At 43.0% G+C, this 13,173-nt stretch overlaps 1 pseudogene, besides 2 other annotated features; it reads right to left on the bottom strand.

The window, feature by feature from the left end:
- Positions 4,162–4,758: an enhancer, noted in NCBI's record as "OCT4-NANOG hESC enhancer chr4:17546395-17546991 (GRCh37/hg19 assembly coordinates)". NCBI's record gives its function as "activates a minimal SCP1, AML or CMV promoter by ChIP-STARR-seq in naive H9 embryonic stem cells {active_cell/tissue: H9 hESC(naive)}" and the evidence as "EXISTENCE:reporter gene assay evidence [ECO:0000049][PMID:30033119]".
- Positions 8,934–9,053: an enhancer, noted in NCBI's record as "active region_21349". NCBI's record gives its function as "activates an Ori minimal core promoter by ATAC-STARR-seq in GM12878 lymphoblastoid cells {active_cell/tissue: GM12878}" and the evidence as "EXISTENCE:reporter gene assay evidence [ECO:0000049][PMID:35858748]".
- Positions 11,394–12,180, bottom strand: NACAP5 (NACA pseudogene 5; annotated as a pseudogene).

The raw sequence follows: 13,173 nt of genomic DNA on the forward strand, positions 1-13,173 counted from the left end.
TGTTCCACCTCAGATCAGGCATTAGATTCTTAAAAAGAGTGTGCAACCTAGGTCCCTCACATGCACAACTCACAATAGGGTTGGCGCTCCTGCGAGAATCTAATGTGGCCGCTAATCTGACAGGAGGTGGAGTTCAGGCAGTAATGCTTGCTGGCCCACAGCTCATCTCCTGCGGTGCAGTCTATTTGGTTCCTAACAGGCCACGGACCAGTCCCAGTCTGTGTGGCCTGGGGTTTGGGCACGCCTGCTATAGACAATGGACAGATGTACCGAAAAGAGTAGAAGGTTGTATATTGGCCGATAAATTTTGTAATACCAGCTATCTTGCAGAAAGTATTTCCCACGTGCCAGCTACTGTGCTAAACACTTTATCTGCTTTACCTGTATAATCACATTTAATTCCCATGGCATTTTTTTAACTTTTTACTTTTACATAACCTTAAACTTAGAGGAAGTTGCAAAGAGAGTACAAAAATTTCCTAAATATTCTTTAGCTAGATTCTCCAAATGTTAAAATTTTATCACATTTGGGCCAGGTTCAGTGGCTTATGCCTATAATCCCAGCACTTTGGGAGGCTGAGGCAGGAGGATCACTTGAGTCCAGGAGCTCGAGGCCAGCCTGGGCAACAAAGTGAGACCCTGTCTCCGCAAAAAATGGAGAAATTAAAAAAAAATTTTTTTTAATTAAAATTTTTATCACATATGCTTTATCATAGTCTCCCTCCTTTTTCTTTCTCTATGTGTGTTGTGCAAACATCTGTGTGCATAAATTTTTGCTGAACCATTTGCAAGTAAGTAGCCAAGGACATCTTACCACTTTACCCCTAAATATGTCCATGTATATTTTCTAAAACACAATGTACAGCAACCACTGTACGATGATGAAAACTGAGAAATCAACACTGGCATAGTTCTGTTATCTAATCTACAGATTTTATTCCAGTTTTGTCAGTGGTTCCCTTTATGTCCTTTATAGTTGTTGTTGTTTTAATATTTTCTACTGCTGCAAGGTCCAGGTTGCACTTGGTCTTCATTTCTCTTTAGCCTCCTCTATATCAGTACAATCCCTCAGTGCTTGTCATTTATGACACTGACATTTTTGAATGACATGGGACATTCTTTTTTGGATCTCCCTTAATTTGAGTTTGCCTGATGCTTTTATTTATTTATTTTTTTTGAGACGGAGTTTCGCTCTGTCGCCCAGGCTGGAGTGCAGTGGCGCGATGTCGACTCACTGCAAGCTCCGCCTCCCGGGTTCACGCCATTCTCCTGCCTCAGCCTCCCGTGTAGCTGGGACTACAGGCGCGCGCCACCATGCCCGGCTAATTTTTGTATTTTTAGTAGAGACGGGGTTTCACCGTGTTAGCCAGGATGGTCTCGATCTCCTGACCTCGTGATCCGCCCGTCTCGGCCTCCCAAAGTGCTGGGATTACAGGCGTGAGCCACTGCACCTGGCCCTGATGCTTCTTTATGATTAGATTCAGGCACGTGCTTTCTAGGCAAGAATACCTGCAAGATGACATTTTGCCCATCTCAGCGCATCTCAACAGAAAGCGTGTGATTTTTTTCTCTCCCATTGCGGATGGTGTTCACTTTAATCATCTACGAAGTAGTACTGGCAGATTTCTCCACTGTAGTTTCTACTTTTCCCATTTTAATTAGTTAGTATCTTGTTGAGAGATATTTCTCATCAAATTCTCACCATTCAAACCATGATTTTAGCATCCATTGATGATTTTCTGCCCGAATCAGTTGTTACTGTGGTGATTGCCAAATGGTTCCTTTTCTAATCCCATTATTTCTTCTAAGTTTATTGGTTGGCATTCTACTGTAGGGAAGAGCTTTCCCTTCTCTCCCACTGATTCGTACATTTATATCACTATAGACTCATGAATTCCTATTTTGTTCCATTGTTTACTCTCCATTACCATCATCATTTATTTTGATACTCAAATTATCCCAAATTTGGCTGGTGAGGGCTCTTTCCAGCCAGCTCCTGTTCTTTTGACATGCCCACAACATTATCTGAGCACTTCCTCGCCTATGGCATGGCAAGAGTCTAGGCTCATTTAGTACTTTCCCCATCCCAGCCTTGGAATCAACCTGAGAGAGCTACCGTTTTGTTGTTGTTGTTTTTTAACATGGTAGAGTTTTAAGTCAGGTACTGTCATCGTTCCTATTTTATAAATGAAAAAGAGAAACTCAGGAAGCTGGATATGTGGTTAGAGATAACAGAAGAATGAAGGCAACTCAATAACATTTTGCTACCATGCCACACAAAACCATGAGGAAAACACCATTAAAATAACAACTGGGCCATGGTAGTGATTTGGGAAGACCAATTTAACTCCCATTTGAGATTAGGGACCACTGCTCCCTCACCCTGGAGCACTGGCTAGCATGCGAACTCTTGCCAACTTCATCCTTGACAAAGAAACAGAGAAAAAAGAGAAGAGGCCATCAGCAGCTGCTGCAGTACCTGCTAGAAAACCAAATGCACTCCACACTGGTGTTTAATTGTCAAACAGACAATGGAAATTTGATTGCACTGAATTTTGAATATCTTCAATTTTAAGATTTATCAGAAATACACTGTCTGGGTTTTCAAAAATAAATATTTATTATCATTGGTGAATGTGATGTATCCTTGCTGGATTTTTACTATGTGAAAATACATTTTGTATTGTTTATTGAAAATGTAATAAATTGATGCAATAAGACAATTTTTAAAAAAGAATCCTCTTTTCCCAATACCCCCAGCATTTTTGACAGCTTTATTGAGCTAGAATTTTTACAGCATAAATTTCAGCTATTTAAAATGTACAACTCAAGTAGTTTTCAGTATATTTACAGAATTGTGCAATGTCACCACGTTTTTAGAACATTTTTATTACCCAAAAAAGAAACCTTCTGCCCATTGGTAATCACTCTTCATTCTCTTCCCCATGCAGCCCTAGGCAACCACTAATCTACTTTTTGTCTCTATGAATTTGCCTGTGCTAGATATTTCATAGAAGTGAAATTATACCAGATATGGTTATTGTATAACCAATGACTGGTTTCTTTTACTTAGCCTAGTGTTTTCAAGGTTCATCCATGTTGTGGCATAATATCTCAACATTTTAACTTTTGTTTTTTTTGAGATGGAGTCTTGCTATGTTGCCCAGGCTGGAGTGCAGTGGTGCTATCTCGGCTCACTGCAAGCTCTGCCTCCTGGGTTCACGCCATTCTCCTGCCTCAGCCTCCCAAGTAGCTGGGACTACAGGCACCTGCCACCACGCCTGGCTAATTTTTTTTTTTTTTTGTATTTTTAGTAGAGATGGAGTTTCACTGTGTTAGCCAGGATGGTCTCGATCTCCTGCCCTCGTGATCCGCCCGCCTCGGACTCCCAAAGTGCTGGGATTACAGGCATGAACCACTGCGCCTGGCCCATTTTAACTTTTTTATGCCGTCATAATGTCCCTCTTCCCATGCGATACACATCAGACTTATTTTCCTTCTGCTTTCTTCAAATAAATATATTAAGCATGTCTTTATTTCTACAGAATTTTCTTCTTTGTAAGTTTTAATGTCTATACCAGTAGTGAATCCCATGACATCCCCCTACAGTGGAAATTTCCAGGCTTGTCATTTCAGACAATGCAGTCGTTCCTGTAATCCCTATGCATGCAGTCATTCAAGATGAATCTGTTTACAAAATCTGAGCCAAAGGATGACCCACAACAATAAGCACTTTACTACTCAACTGTTCCCTCTTGCAGCTAAATGAAGGTTTTGTCCTCGGGAGACGGTGACATCACCTCTAGGGCTGACAGGCCACAGCAACTGACCTCCTCATCTGGGCTTCTCCCCGGAAGAGGTGGAAGTCATTGTCATTGTTCCTCACAAAGGGCCGCTGTGCTGAAATGCAAAGTAAACAAGCAGAAATGACAGCCTGCTTCATTATAGAACTAGCACTTCCTTCTCACACTCATTTCTTAGTAAACAGACGTGGGTTTGTTTTCACTTTTTACTTTTTATTGGTGAATATGTATTTAATATGCCTAATTTATATATATATATATATGCATAGAAACTACAGTATTGCAGTTCTAGGTAACTATTATCCAGCTTCAATAATTATCAGCCCATGGCTAATTTTGTTTCCTCTGGACATTTACCTCCACTCTCCACCTCCATTAACAAAAGCTTCTTACTGAAAATTATTCCAAATAGTTACTTCATTGTCCCTGCCCTGTCATCCCATAGATCCAATTATTTTCATTTTGTTTTCAACAGATTATTTTGGGAACATTACTATGTGTTTGGCACAATGCCAGGTCCTGGGGATACAAAGATGAAGATGACATTGTTTGGGAAGTTTACAGACCAGGAACTAGAAACACAAACATTGTATTTTATGATAACATGAGGTTGGAGGATGGCCAGAGCTGATCCTGACACAGCCTGGATCAGGAAGCAGTGGGGTTTACAAACAAAACCATTAATAGTAATTACATGGCCCGGCGGGGTGGCTCACACCTGTGATCCCAGCACTTTGGGAGGCCAAGGTGGGTGGATCACCTGAGGTCGGGAGTTAGAGACCTGCCTGACCAACATGGAGAAACTAAAAATACAAAATTAGTCGGGCATGGTGGCACATGCCTGTAATCCCAGCTACTCGGTAGGCTGAGGCAGGAGAATAGCTTGAACCTGGGAGGAGGTTGCGGTGAGCCGAGATGACGCCATTACATTCCAGCCTAGGCAACAAGAACAAAACTCTGTCCCAAAAAAAAAAAGGTAATTACATGCTGGGGCGAGGGTAAGTTTACAGTAAATTTGCTAGTATGGAAGTGCTTATGTGCTATTATTTTAAAGTTTAGCTGGGGTTAAAGTAGCTACAGCAATGAGGTTGGAGTTGGCTAAACTGTGAAAGCAAGTTCGATGGAACCCTGGGTCCACTGTACTGGGTATGAATCACAATCTAGATAACCCAGAGTACTTACTGCAAAGTCAGCGATAGCTCTTCTGTTTTCCACATTGCCGCAAATTTCCCCTAAGGTGAGGCCTGCAGCTAGCTTGAATGGGGAAAGTCAGGGGGTAGGTATAAATTAATATCTTCATAAATTTGTATCAGCCTCACAGGTATGAATCTGTTAAATGTATATAAACATATAAAATATATATGTATCTCTATATAGCCAGCCAAAAGTGGGAAGAAATTGAATTGCCTCTGTATTAAGAGAGACATAATAAAACCAGACAGTAGCTTTGCCTGCCTGATGAAGGGAGGTGGCTCCTACAGGCCACCTGGCCTAGACAGCTGACACCCCCTGGGGTACGGGGACAGTTCTTTGGTGCAGTGATCAGCATGTCCTTAACAGACTGTTCCCGAGGTAATGCCTACTGCGATCTGCTCACCTGTGATCTGTCCACATGCCGTCTGCCTGCGCTGGGTTCTGTGCGTGCACGCAAGTCTCTCTGGTCCAGAAGCCAGAGCTGGGATGGAATTCAAGGAACCACAAAAGTCTCCCTCTCACTGTCAATTTTGAAGAATGAATAAGGGGTAGGCAGGCAAAGGCAAAAAACTCAGGGTGAGGGCATAAATAGAAGCAGAGGTATCGAGGCAGGAAACAGCACAGCCAGGTCACAGCAGTTCAGCACCCACTGGGACAAGCGCAAGACAAGAAGTATGGAAGGAACACAGGCAGGCGAGAAAGGTAGGGCCAGGTTCGAGAAGGATTCCTGCGTCCTGTGAAGGAACTGGGCTTCACTGAGGGCTGAGAAGCAGGATAGGTGGCGCATTAGAAGGAGTCCTCGAGCAGCATGTGGACAGCACATGGGAGCAGAGGATCCAGGCAGGAAGGTGGTGCGGCGTCAAGGGCAGAGGGAGGCAGCCTTCAACCAGTTCAGAAATGAACCAGGGCTGTCATGGGCAGGGTTATGCCCTGCACCGCCCCCCCAACTTATGTTGAAGTCTTGACCCCGGGTACCTCACAATGTGACATATTTGGAGACAGGGCTTTTATTTATTTTGTGAGACGGAGTCTCGCTCTGTTGCCCAGGCTGGAGTGCGGTGGCGTGTTCTCGGCTCACTGCAAGCTCCGCCTCCCGGGTTCAAGAGATTCCCATGCCTCAGCCTCCCCAGCAGCTGGGATTACAGGCTCGCTACCACAGGGCAGATCCCTCATGAGAGTAGATCTCTCAAGAATAGCTTGGGCCATCCCCGTGGTAACAAGTGAATTCTCGCTCTATTAGTTCACAGGAGAGCTAGTTGTTTAAGAGAGCCTGGCAGCTCCTCCTCCCCCCTTGCTTTCTCTCTCACCATGTGACAGGCCTGCTCCCACTCTGCCTTCCACCACGAGTAAAAACTTCCAGGTCGGGCGCGTTGACTCAAGCCTGTAATCCCAGCACTTTGGGAGGCCAAGGTGGGAGGATCACGAGATCAGGAGATCGAGACCATCTTGGCTAACATGGTGAAACCCTGTCTTTACTAAAATACAAAAAATTAGCCAGGTGTAGTGATGCATGCCTGTAATCCCAGCTACCCGGGAGGCTGAGGCAGGGGAATCGCTTGAACCCGGGAGGCAGAGGTTGCAGTGAGCTGAGATCACGCCACTGCACTCCAGCCTAGCGACAGAGCAAGACTCTGTCTCACATAAACAAACAAACAAACAAACAAAAAACAAGCTTTCTGAGGCCTCACCAGAAGCAGAGGCAAGCACTATGCTTTTTTTTTCTTTTTCTTTTTCTTTTTTTTTTGAGATGGAATCTGGTGCTGTTGCCCAGGCTGGAATGCAGTGGCACAATCTCAGCTAACTGCAGCCTCTGCCTCCAAGGTTCAAGTGATTCTCCTGCCTCAGCCTCCCAAGTAGCTGGGATCACAGGTGTGTGCCACCACACTCAGCTAATTTTTGTATTTTTAGTAGAGATGTAGTTTCCCCACATTGACCAGGCTGGTCTGGAATTCTGGACCTCAAGTGATCCACCCATCTTGGCCTCCCAAAGTGCTGGGATTACAGGTGTGAGCCACCACCCCTGTCCTACTATGCTTCTTATACAGAAGCATAGTATAAGATTCTGCAGCATTCTGTCTGCAGAATTGTGAGCGAAAATAAACCTCTTTTATTTATAAATTACCCAGCCTCAGGTATTCTTTAATAGCAACGTAAAATAGACTGACACAACAGCCATCTACAAGCCAAGGAGAGAGTCCTCAGAAGAAACCAACCTTTCTAACATTTTGATCTTGGACTTCTAGCTCCAAAATTATGAGAAAATAAATTTCTGTTGTTGAAGCCACCCAGTCTGTGGCAGCCCTAGCACTCTAATACAAGGGTACAATACGAAGTGGAGGAGGGTCAGGAAAATCAGCAAGACATCAGTTGCAAGAGAGGATAGAGAAGAAAGGATCGGGGAGGTCTCCCAGACCTCTTGTTTGACGACTGAGTAGAAGGCAGTGTCACTACCTGTAACGGGATCCAGGGATGAGGTGGATCTCAGGGCCTGTGGATGAGACATCCCAGTAAAAATGCGTAGCAGACAGTTGGATGTAAAAGTCTGAAGCGTTTCAAGAAGAGTGAAACAACCATGATTTTTGTCCCATTTCTGGGACCCTATTGCTCTGTGATATCTCTGAGCCTCAGTTTCTTCAACTGTAAAAAAGGTATATTGGCGGGGCGTGGTGGCTCACGCTTGTAATACCAACACTTTGGGAGGCCGAGATGGGTGGATCACTTGAGGGCAGGAGTTTGAGGCCAGCCTGGTCAACATGGGGAAACCCCATCTCCAGTAAAAATATAAAAACTAGCCAGGGGTGGTGGTGCATGCCTATAATCCCAGCTAGTGGGGAAGCTGAGGCAGGAGAGTCATGTGAACCCAGGAGGCGGAGGTTGCAGTGAGCCGAGATTGTGTGACTGCACTCCATCTCAAAAAAAAAAAGGTATACTAATACCTTTCCTGTCTACCAAGGAGAGTAGTTGAAGGGGCAAATGATAATAATACCATACATGTAAAAATTTCCTGAAAACTGAATAAGGCAGCATTAAAAAAAAAAAAATATATATATATATATAATTATATATAAGCTTTTCTGGGACGCCACTTTTAAAATCAAAAGATGATTTTAAAGCTTTGTTGAGTTCAGTTGAGGCTTTAAGAACAATTTGCCACAAAATGACAAAGCTCGTTCTGGGCATGATCATTTTATCAAATCCTGGATCTGGTAGTTAAAAGTGTCATTGTTTTCTTTTTTGTTTTGTTCTGTTTGTTACCAAAGGCTATAATTATTTGGTGGCAATTTGCCATTTCTGGAATCTTAATCATACTGGCTTATAATGTGGTCTGCTCTGAACAGAGCTTATTTATAACTACACAACTATGTGCATTTTCTTTAAGACTTAGGAGGAATATTATAAATCAGGGATAAATTGTTTCATAAGTGAATCAGAAAGAAACTAGAGAAGTAATGAGCTTTGACTGCCTTAGGTATTGTTGCTGTGATTGTTAAATGCATTAGCTAATAGTTTTACCATGGATACTATATAATACTATCACACCGTATATGTTTTAATAATCATATCAAAGCAATCCATGGTGCAAAATAATTTCTAAACTATGATTCTAAGGTTAAACATGTCTAAAAATGAAAGTGGTATGACCACCGTTTGCCACTAGGGGGAAGCAATCGATTGACCATAAACTCATCATGTCTCAGCGGGCGTGGGGCTGCCGGTTGGATCAAGGAATCTTGAATGATTCTTTCAGCTCAGAGTCACTCTGTGATTCCACTATGCTTCCAGTTTCAAGTTCCAATTGAGTAAGGAAATACCTTTTAATATTTTAGATAACGTTGCTAAGTATAACGAGGGTTATTTCTCAGCGGGGTGTTGCAGGACCCTAGGAAACAAAAACTGTTAGAACTTTAGAGGTCTTGACTGGGCGCAGTGGCTCACGCCTGTAATCCCAGCACTTTGGGAGGCCGAGGCGGGCGGATCACGAGGTCAGGAGATCGAGACCATCCTGGCTAACACGGTGAAACCCCGTCTGTATCAAAAATACAAAAAATTAGCCGGGCGTGATGGCGGGCGCCTGTAGTCCCAGCTACTCGGGAGGCTGAGGCAGGAGAATGGCGTGAACCCGGGAGGCGGAGCTTGCAGTGCGCCGAGATCTCGCCACTACACTCCAGCCTGGGCGACAGAGCGAGACTCTGTCAAAAAAAAAAGAATTTTAGAGGTCTTACATCCTACCAGTAACCTGTAACGTCACAGCCATAAAGGTTTTCTCTCTGGTCCTCTGTGTCAGCGCAGGGTTGTAAAAATCAAATTACTATACTTGATTAATAACTCATCAAGGATAAAATAGTATAATACATAGGCCCAGCAACTCTAACAAGTGACTGGCCTTTTTTTTTTTTTTTTTTTTTTTTTTTTTTTGTGAGACAGGGTCTCACTTCTCACCCAGGGTGGAATGCAGTGGTGCGATCTCAGTTCACTGCAACCTCCACTTCCCGGGCTCAAGCAATCCTCCCACCTTAGCCTCTCGAGTCTCTGGGACTGCAGGCGTGCGCCACCACACCTGACTAATTTTTGTATTTTTTGTAGAGATGGGGTTTTGCCATGTTGTACAGGCTGGTCTTGAGCTCCTGAGCTAAAGTGATCCGCCTTCTTTGGCCTCTCAAAATGCTGGGATTAGAAGCGGGAGCCACCACACCCTGCCCAAACTCAATTTTATATCTATAAAGTTTCATTCTTTTTAAAGATTATCACTGTAATAATATATATCAGAAAACTTAAAAAAATACAAAATTATGAGAAAGAAGATAAAGATGAAACCACTGTTTATATTTTATTTTCTTAAATGGTTTCCCAAATTACTGTATTTAATTAAGTCAACACCTTAAATCTCTTCTGGAATAAGGAAAGCAGGATGGGTAGATAGACCGACACAGATGTGAGGAATTATCTCAATAGTTTCCAAACCTGGCTGATGGTCAGAATTACCTGGTGAGCGTTTTAAAACTAAATCAGAATCTCTTTGGAGAGGGAGGAGAGGAAAGAAGGAAGCTAGACTCCAGAAAGAGAGAGAGAGCGAGCGAGAGAGGAGTGTGTGTGTGGTGTGTGTGTTTGGAGTTACCCAGTTGATGGTTTAGAGTTGGCATTTGCAAACTGCTGAGGTAAACAAGTTTGCAGGTGTTGCCACAGAAAATATACAGAGCTTCCTTGGTGTTCATGGGGATGTAAAAACAAAAAAAAAGAAAATATAAGGACCAGAATGGTTAAGAACTTAAATTCAACCCCAATAGTGAAGACCAAATTAGAATTAAATTATTTTACCAAAAAAGAAAAATTACTTTGTCATATGAAAAATCGTGGCAAGCATACATTTGACGTATTGATAACTGTAATGATACGTTTGGGTTTTTTTTCAGTCAGTGTTCTTTTATTAGAGAAAGGAGTTTATTGTAATCCTCAATACTGAGAACAGTTTGTCTCTGAAAGTATATGTAGATGAGCAAACTGCTAAACAAGAAAACAGTCCAGGCGCAGTGGCTCACACCTATAATCCCAGCACTTTGGGAGGCCAAGGTGGGCAGATCACGAGGTCAGGAGATGGAAACTATCCTGGCCAACATAGTGAAACCCCGTCTCTACTAAAAACACAAAAATTAGCCGGGCGTGGTGGCACATGCCTGTAATCACAGCTACTCGGGAGGCTGAGGCAGGAGAATTGCTTGAACCAGAGAGTTGGAGGTTGCAGTGAGCCAAGATCACACCACTGCACTCCACCATGGTGACAGGGCAAGACTCCATCTCAAAAAAAAAAAAAAAAAAAAAAAAAAGAGAGAAAGAAAGAAAAGAAAAGAAAACAAGAGTTCTCATTCACAAAGGACCTCTGCAGTTTAAAAATAAAAAAAGGCATCAGGATTTCTCAGGACAGTCACTTACATTTCAGGGACACCAGATTATTCTCTTTTTAATTTTGAGACAGAATCTCACTCTGTCACCCAGGCTGGAGTACAGTGGTGCCACCGCCGCTCACTGCAGCCTCAACTATGGGCTTGTGCCACCACACTCGGCTAATTTTTGTAGTTTTTGTAGAGACAGGAGTCTCACTATGTTATCCAGGCTGGTCTCCAAGTCCTGGGCTCAAGTGATACTACTGCCTCTATTTCCCAAAATGCTGGGATTACAGGTGTGAGCCACTGCTCTTGGCCCAGGGTAGTATTAAAGGAAGATCCCAGACCTGACAGAGGTGAAAATAAGAGAAAAGATGATTAGTCTCCTTTATTGTGGAAGCAGAAGAATGCCAAGAAATTCTTTAAAAGGCAAGTGGTTGGCCATTAATAATCGCCTGGGCTGGGAGTGCAGTGACTGTGGGACTTTGCATAATTTGAATGTTTATTTTATTCTAATATTTTTCCAAGAAGAAGCCATAATTTTATTTATGATAGAAACAGGTACAAATTTCAAACCAAGTTGCAGTTATTCTTTTGAAACACACAAAAACAGTCATTTTCAGGTGGTCACATTGTTAATTCTGTAATAGCAGTTACAATATGATTACTCTTGTTCTTCAAGGCTCGGACTTCCTTTGCTCTCAATACATTTGCTTGTGACATGACCAATTCTACGTCCTTAACTTCCACACCTGTATCATCAACCTTTTCCTCTCCAGTCTCGTCTTGTATAGTTGGAGTCTGTGTGTTTTCTTGAATGTTTGAGACAGCTCACTCTGTGTCTTAGCAGGTGCTACCCATGCTTGTTAAGATAAATCCTTGATCTTGGCTTCCCCAAAAACACACACATAGGTATCCGAAGCAGGATTCTTGTAGACATCTGGTTTTGTGATGACAAAGAAGATATTCTTAGATTTCCAGTAGTGACTGTAGTAACCCCTGTTATCTACGGAAGACCGAGTTTGGACATAGCCTTACGTGCCTTCTTTTCACTCTAACTCTGTTTTGCTTTACTGATTGACACTCATTGATTTCAGCTGCTGCTGCCAGCTGGGCTGCTTGTGTGGTATCTCTGTGGAATCCTGTTCCTCGAGCTCTGGTACTGATTTATCACTGTCAGCTTCTGTTCCAGACCCGGTCTCCACCTGGGGCTGTGGCAACTCCTGCTCTGTAGCAAGAATGGTTTCTGTGGCTTCACCAGGCATTTAGTGCAGGGAACTTGAGACCAGGATGGTGGCAGAAAGACAGCCAGCAAGAAGGCAACAGTTTGTTTTTTAAAAACTAAATGGGGCTGGGCGCGATGGCTCACACCTGTAATCTCAGCACTTTGGGAGGCCCAGGCAGGCAGATCACTTCAGGTCAGGAGTTCAAGACCAGCCTGGCCAACATGGTGAAATCTCATCTCTCCTAAAAATACAAAAATTAGCCAGGTGTGGTGGTGTGCACCTGTAATCCCAGTTACTTAGGGGGCTGAGGCAGGAGAATTGCTTGAGGCCAGGAGGCGGATGTTGCAGTGAGCCGAGATTGAGCCACTGCACTCTAGCCCGGGTGACAGAGCAAGACTCCCTCTCAAAAAAATAAAAATAAAAAATAAAAGAAAAAAGAAAAGAAAAAAAAAACAAAAAAAACTAAATGTACATCATATGACCCAGCATTTATGCTCCTGGGCATTTATCCCAGAAAAATGAAAACTTATTTCCAGATGAAAGCTTGTACACAAATGTTCATAGCAGCTTCATTGGGAATTACCAAAAACTGGAAGCAACCAAAATGTCCTTCAATAGGTGAATGACAGAAAAATAAAACAAAACAAAACTGTGATACATCCATTCCGTGGAATAATACTCTGCAACAAAAAGGAGTGAATTACTGGTATACATGAGAGCTTGAATGGATCTCAAGAGCAAATACTGGGTGAAAAAGTCAATCTCAAAAGTTCACATACATCCCAGCTACTTGGGAGGCTGAGGCAGGAGAATCAATTGAACCTGGGAGACGGAGGTTGCAGTGAGTCGAGACCATGCCACTGCACTCCAGCCTGGGCAACAGTGCAAGACTCCAACAAGTTCACATACGTTATGATTCCACTTATATAGCATTCTAGAGATAATACAATTATAGAGCTAGAGAACAAATTCGAGGTTGCCAAGGGTTAGGGATGTGAGGCGGTAATTGTGACCACAAAGGGGTAGCTCAAGAAGGATCTTTGTGGTGATGGAATAGGTTGGTATCTTGAT

This window comes from Homo sapiens, chromosome 4, assembly GCF_000001405.40.
Source record: "Homo sapiens chromosome 4, GRCh38.p14 Primary Assembly".
NCBI lineage: Eukaryota > Metazoa > Chordata > Mammalia > Primates > Hominidae > Homo > Homo sapiens.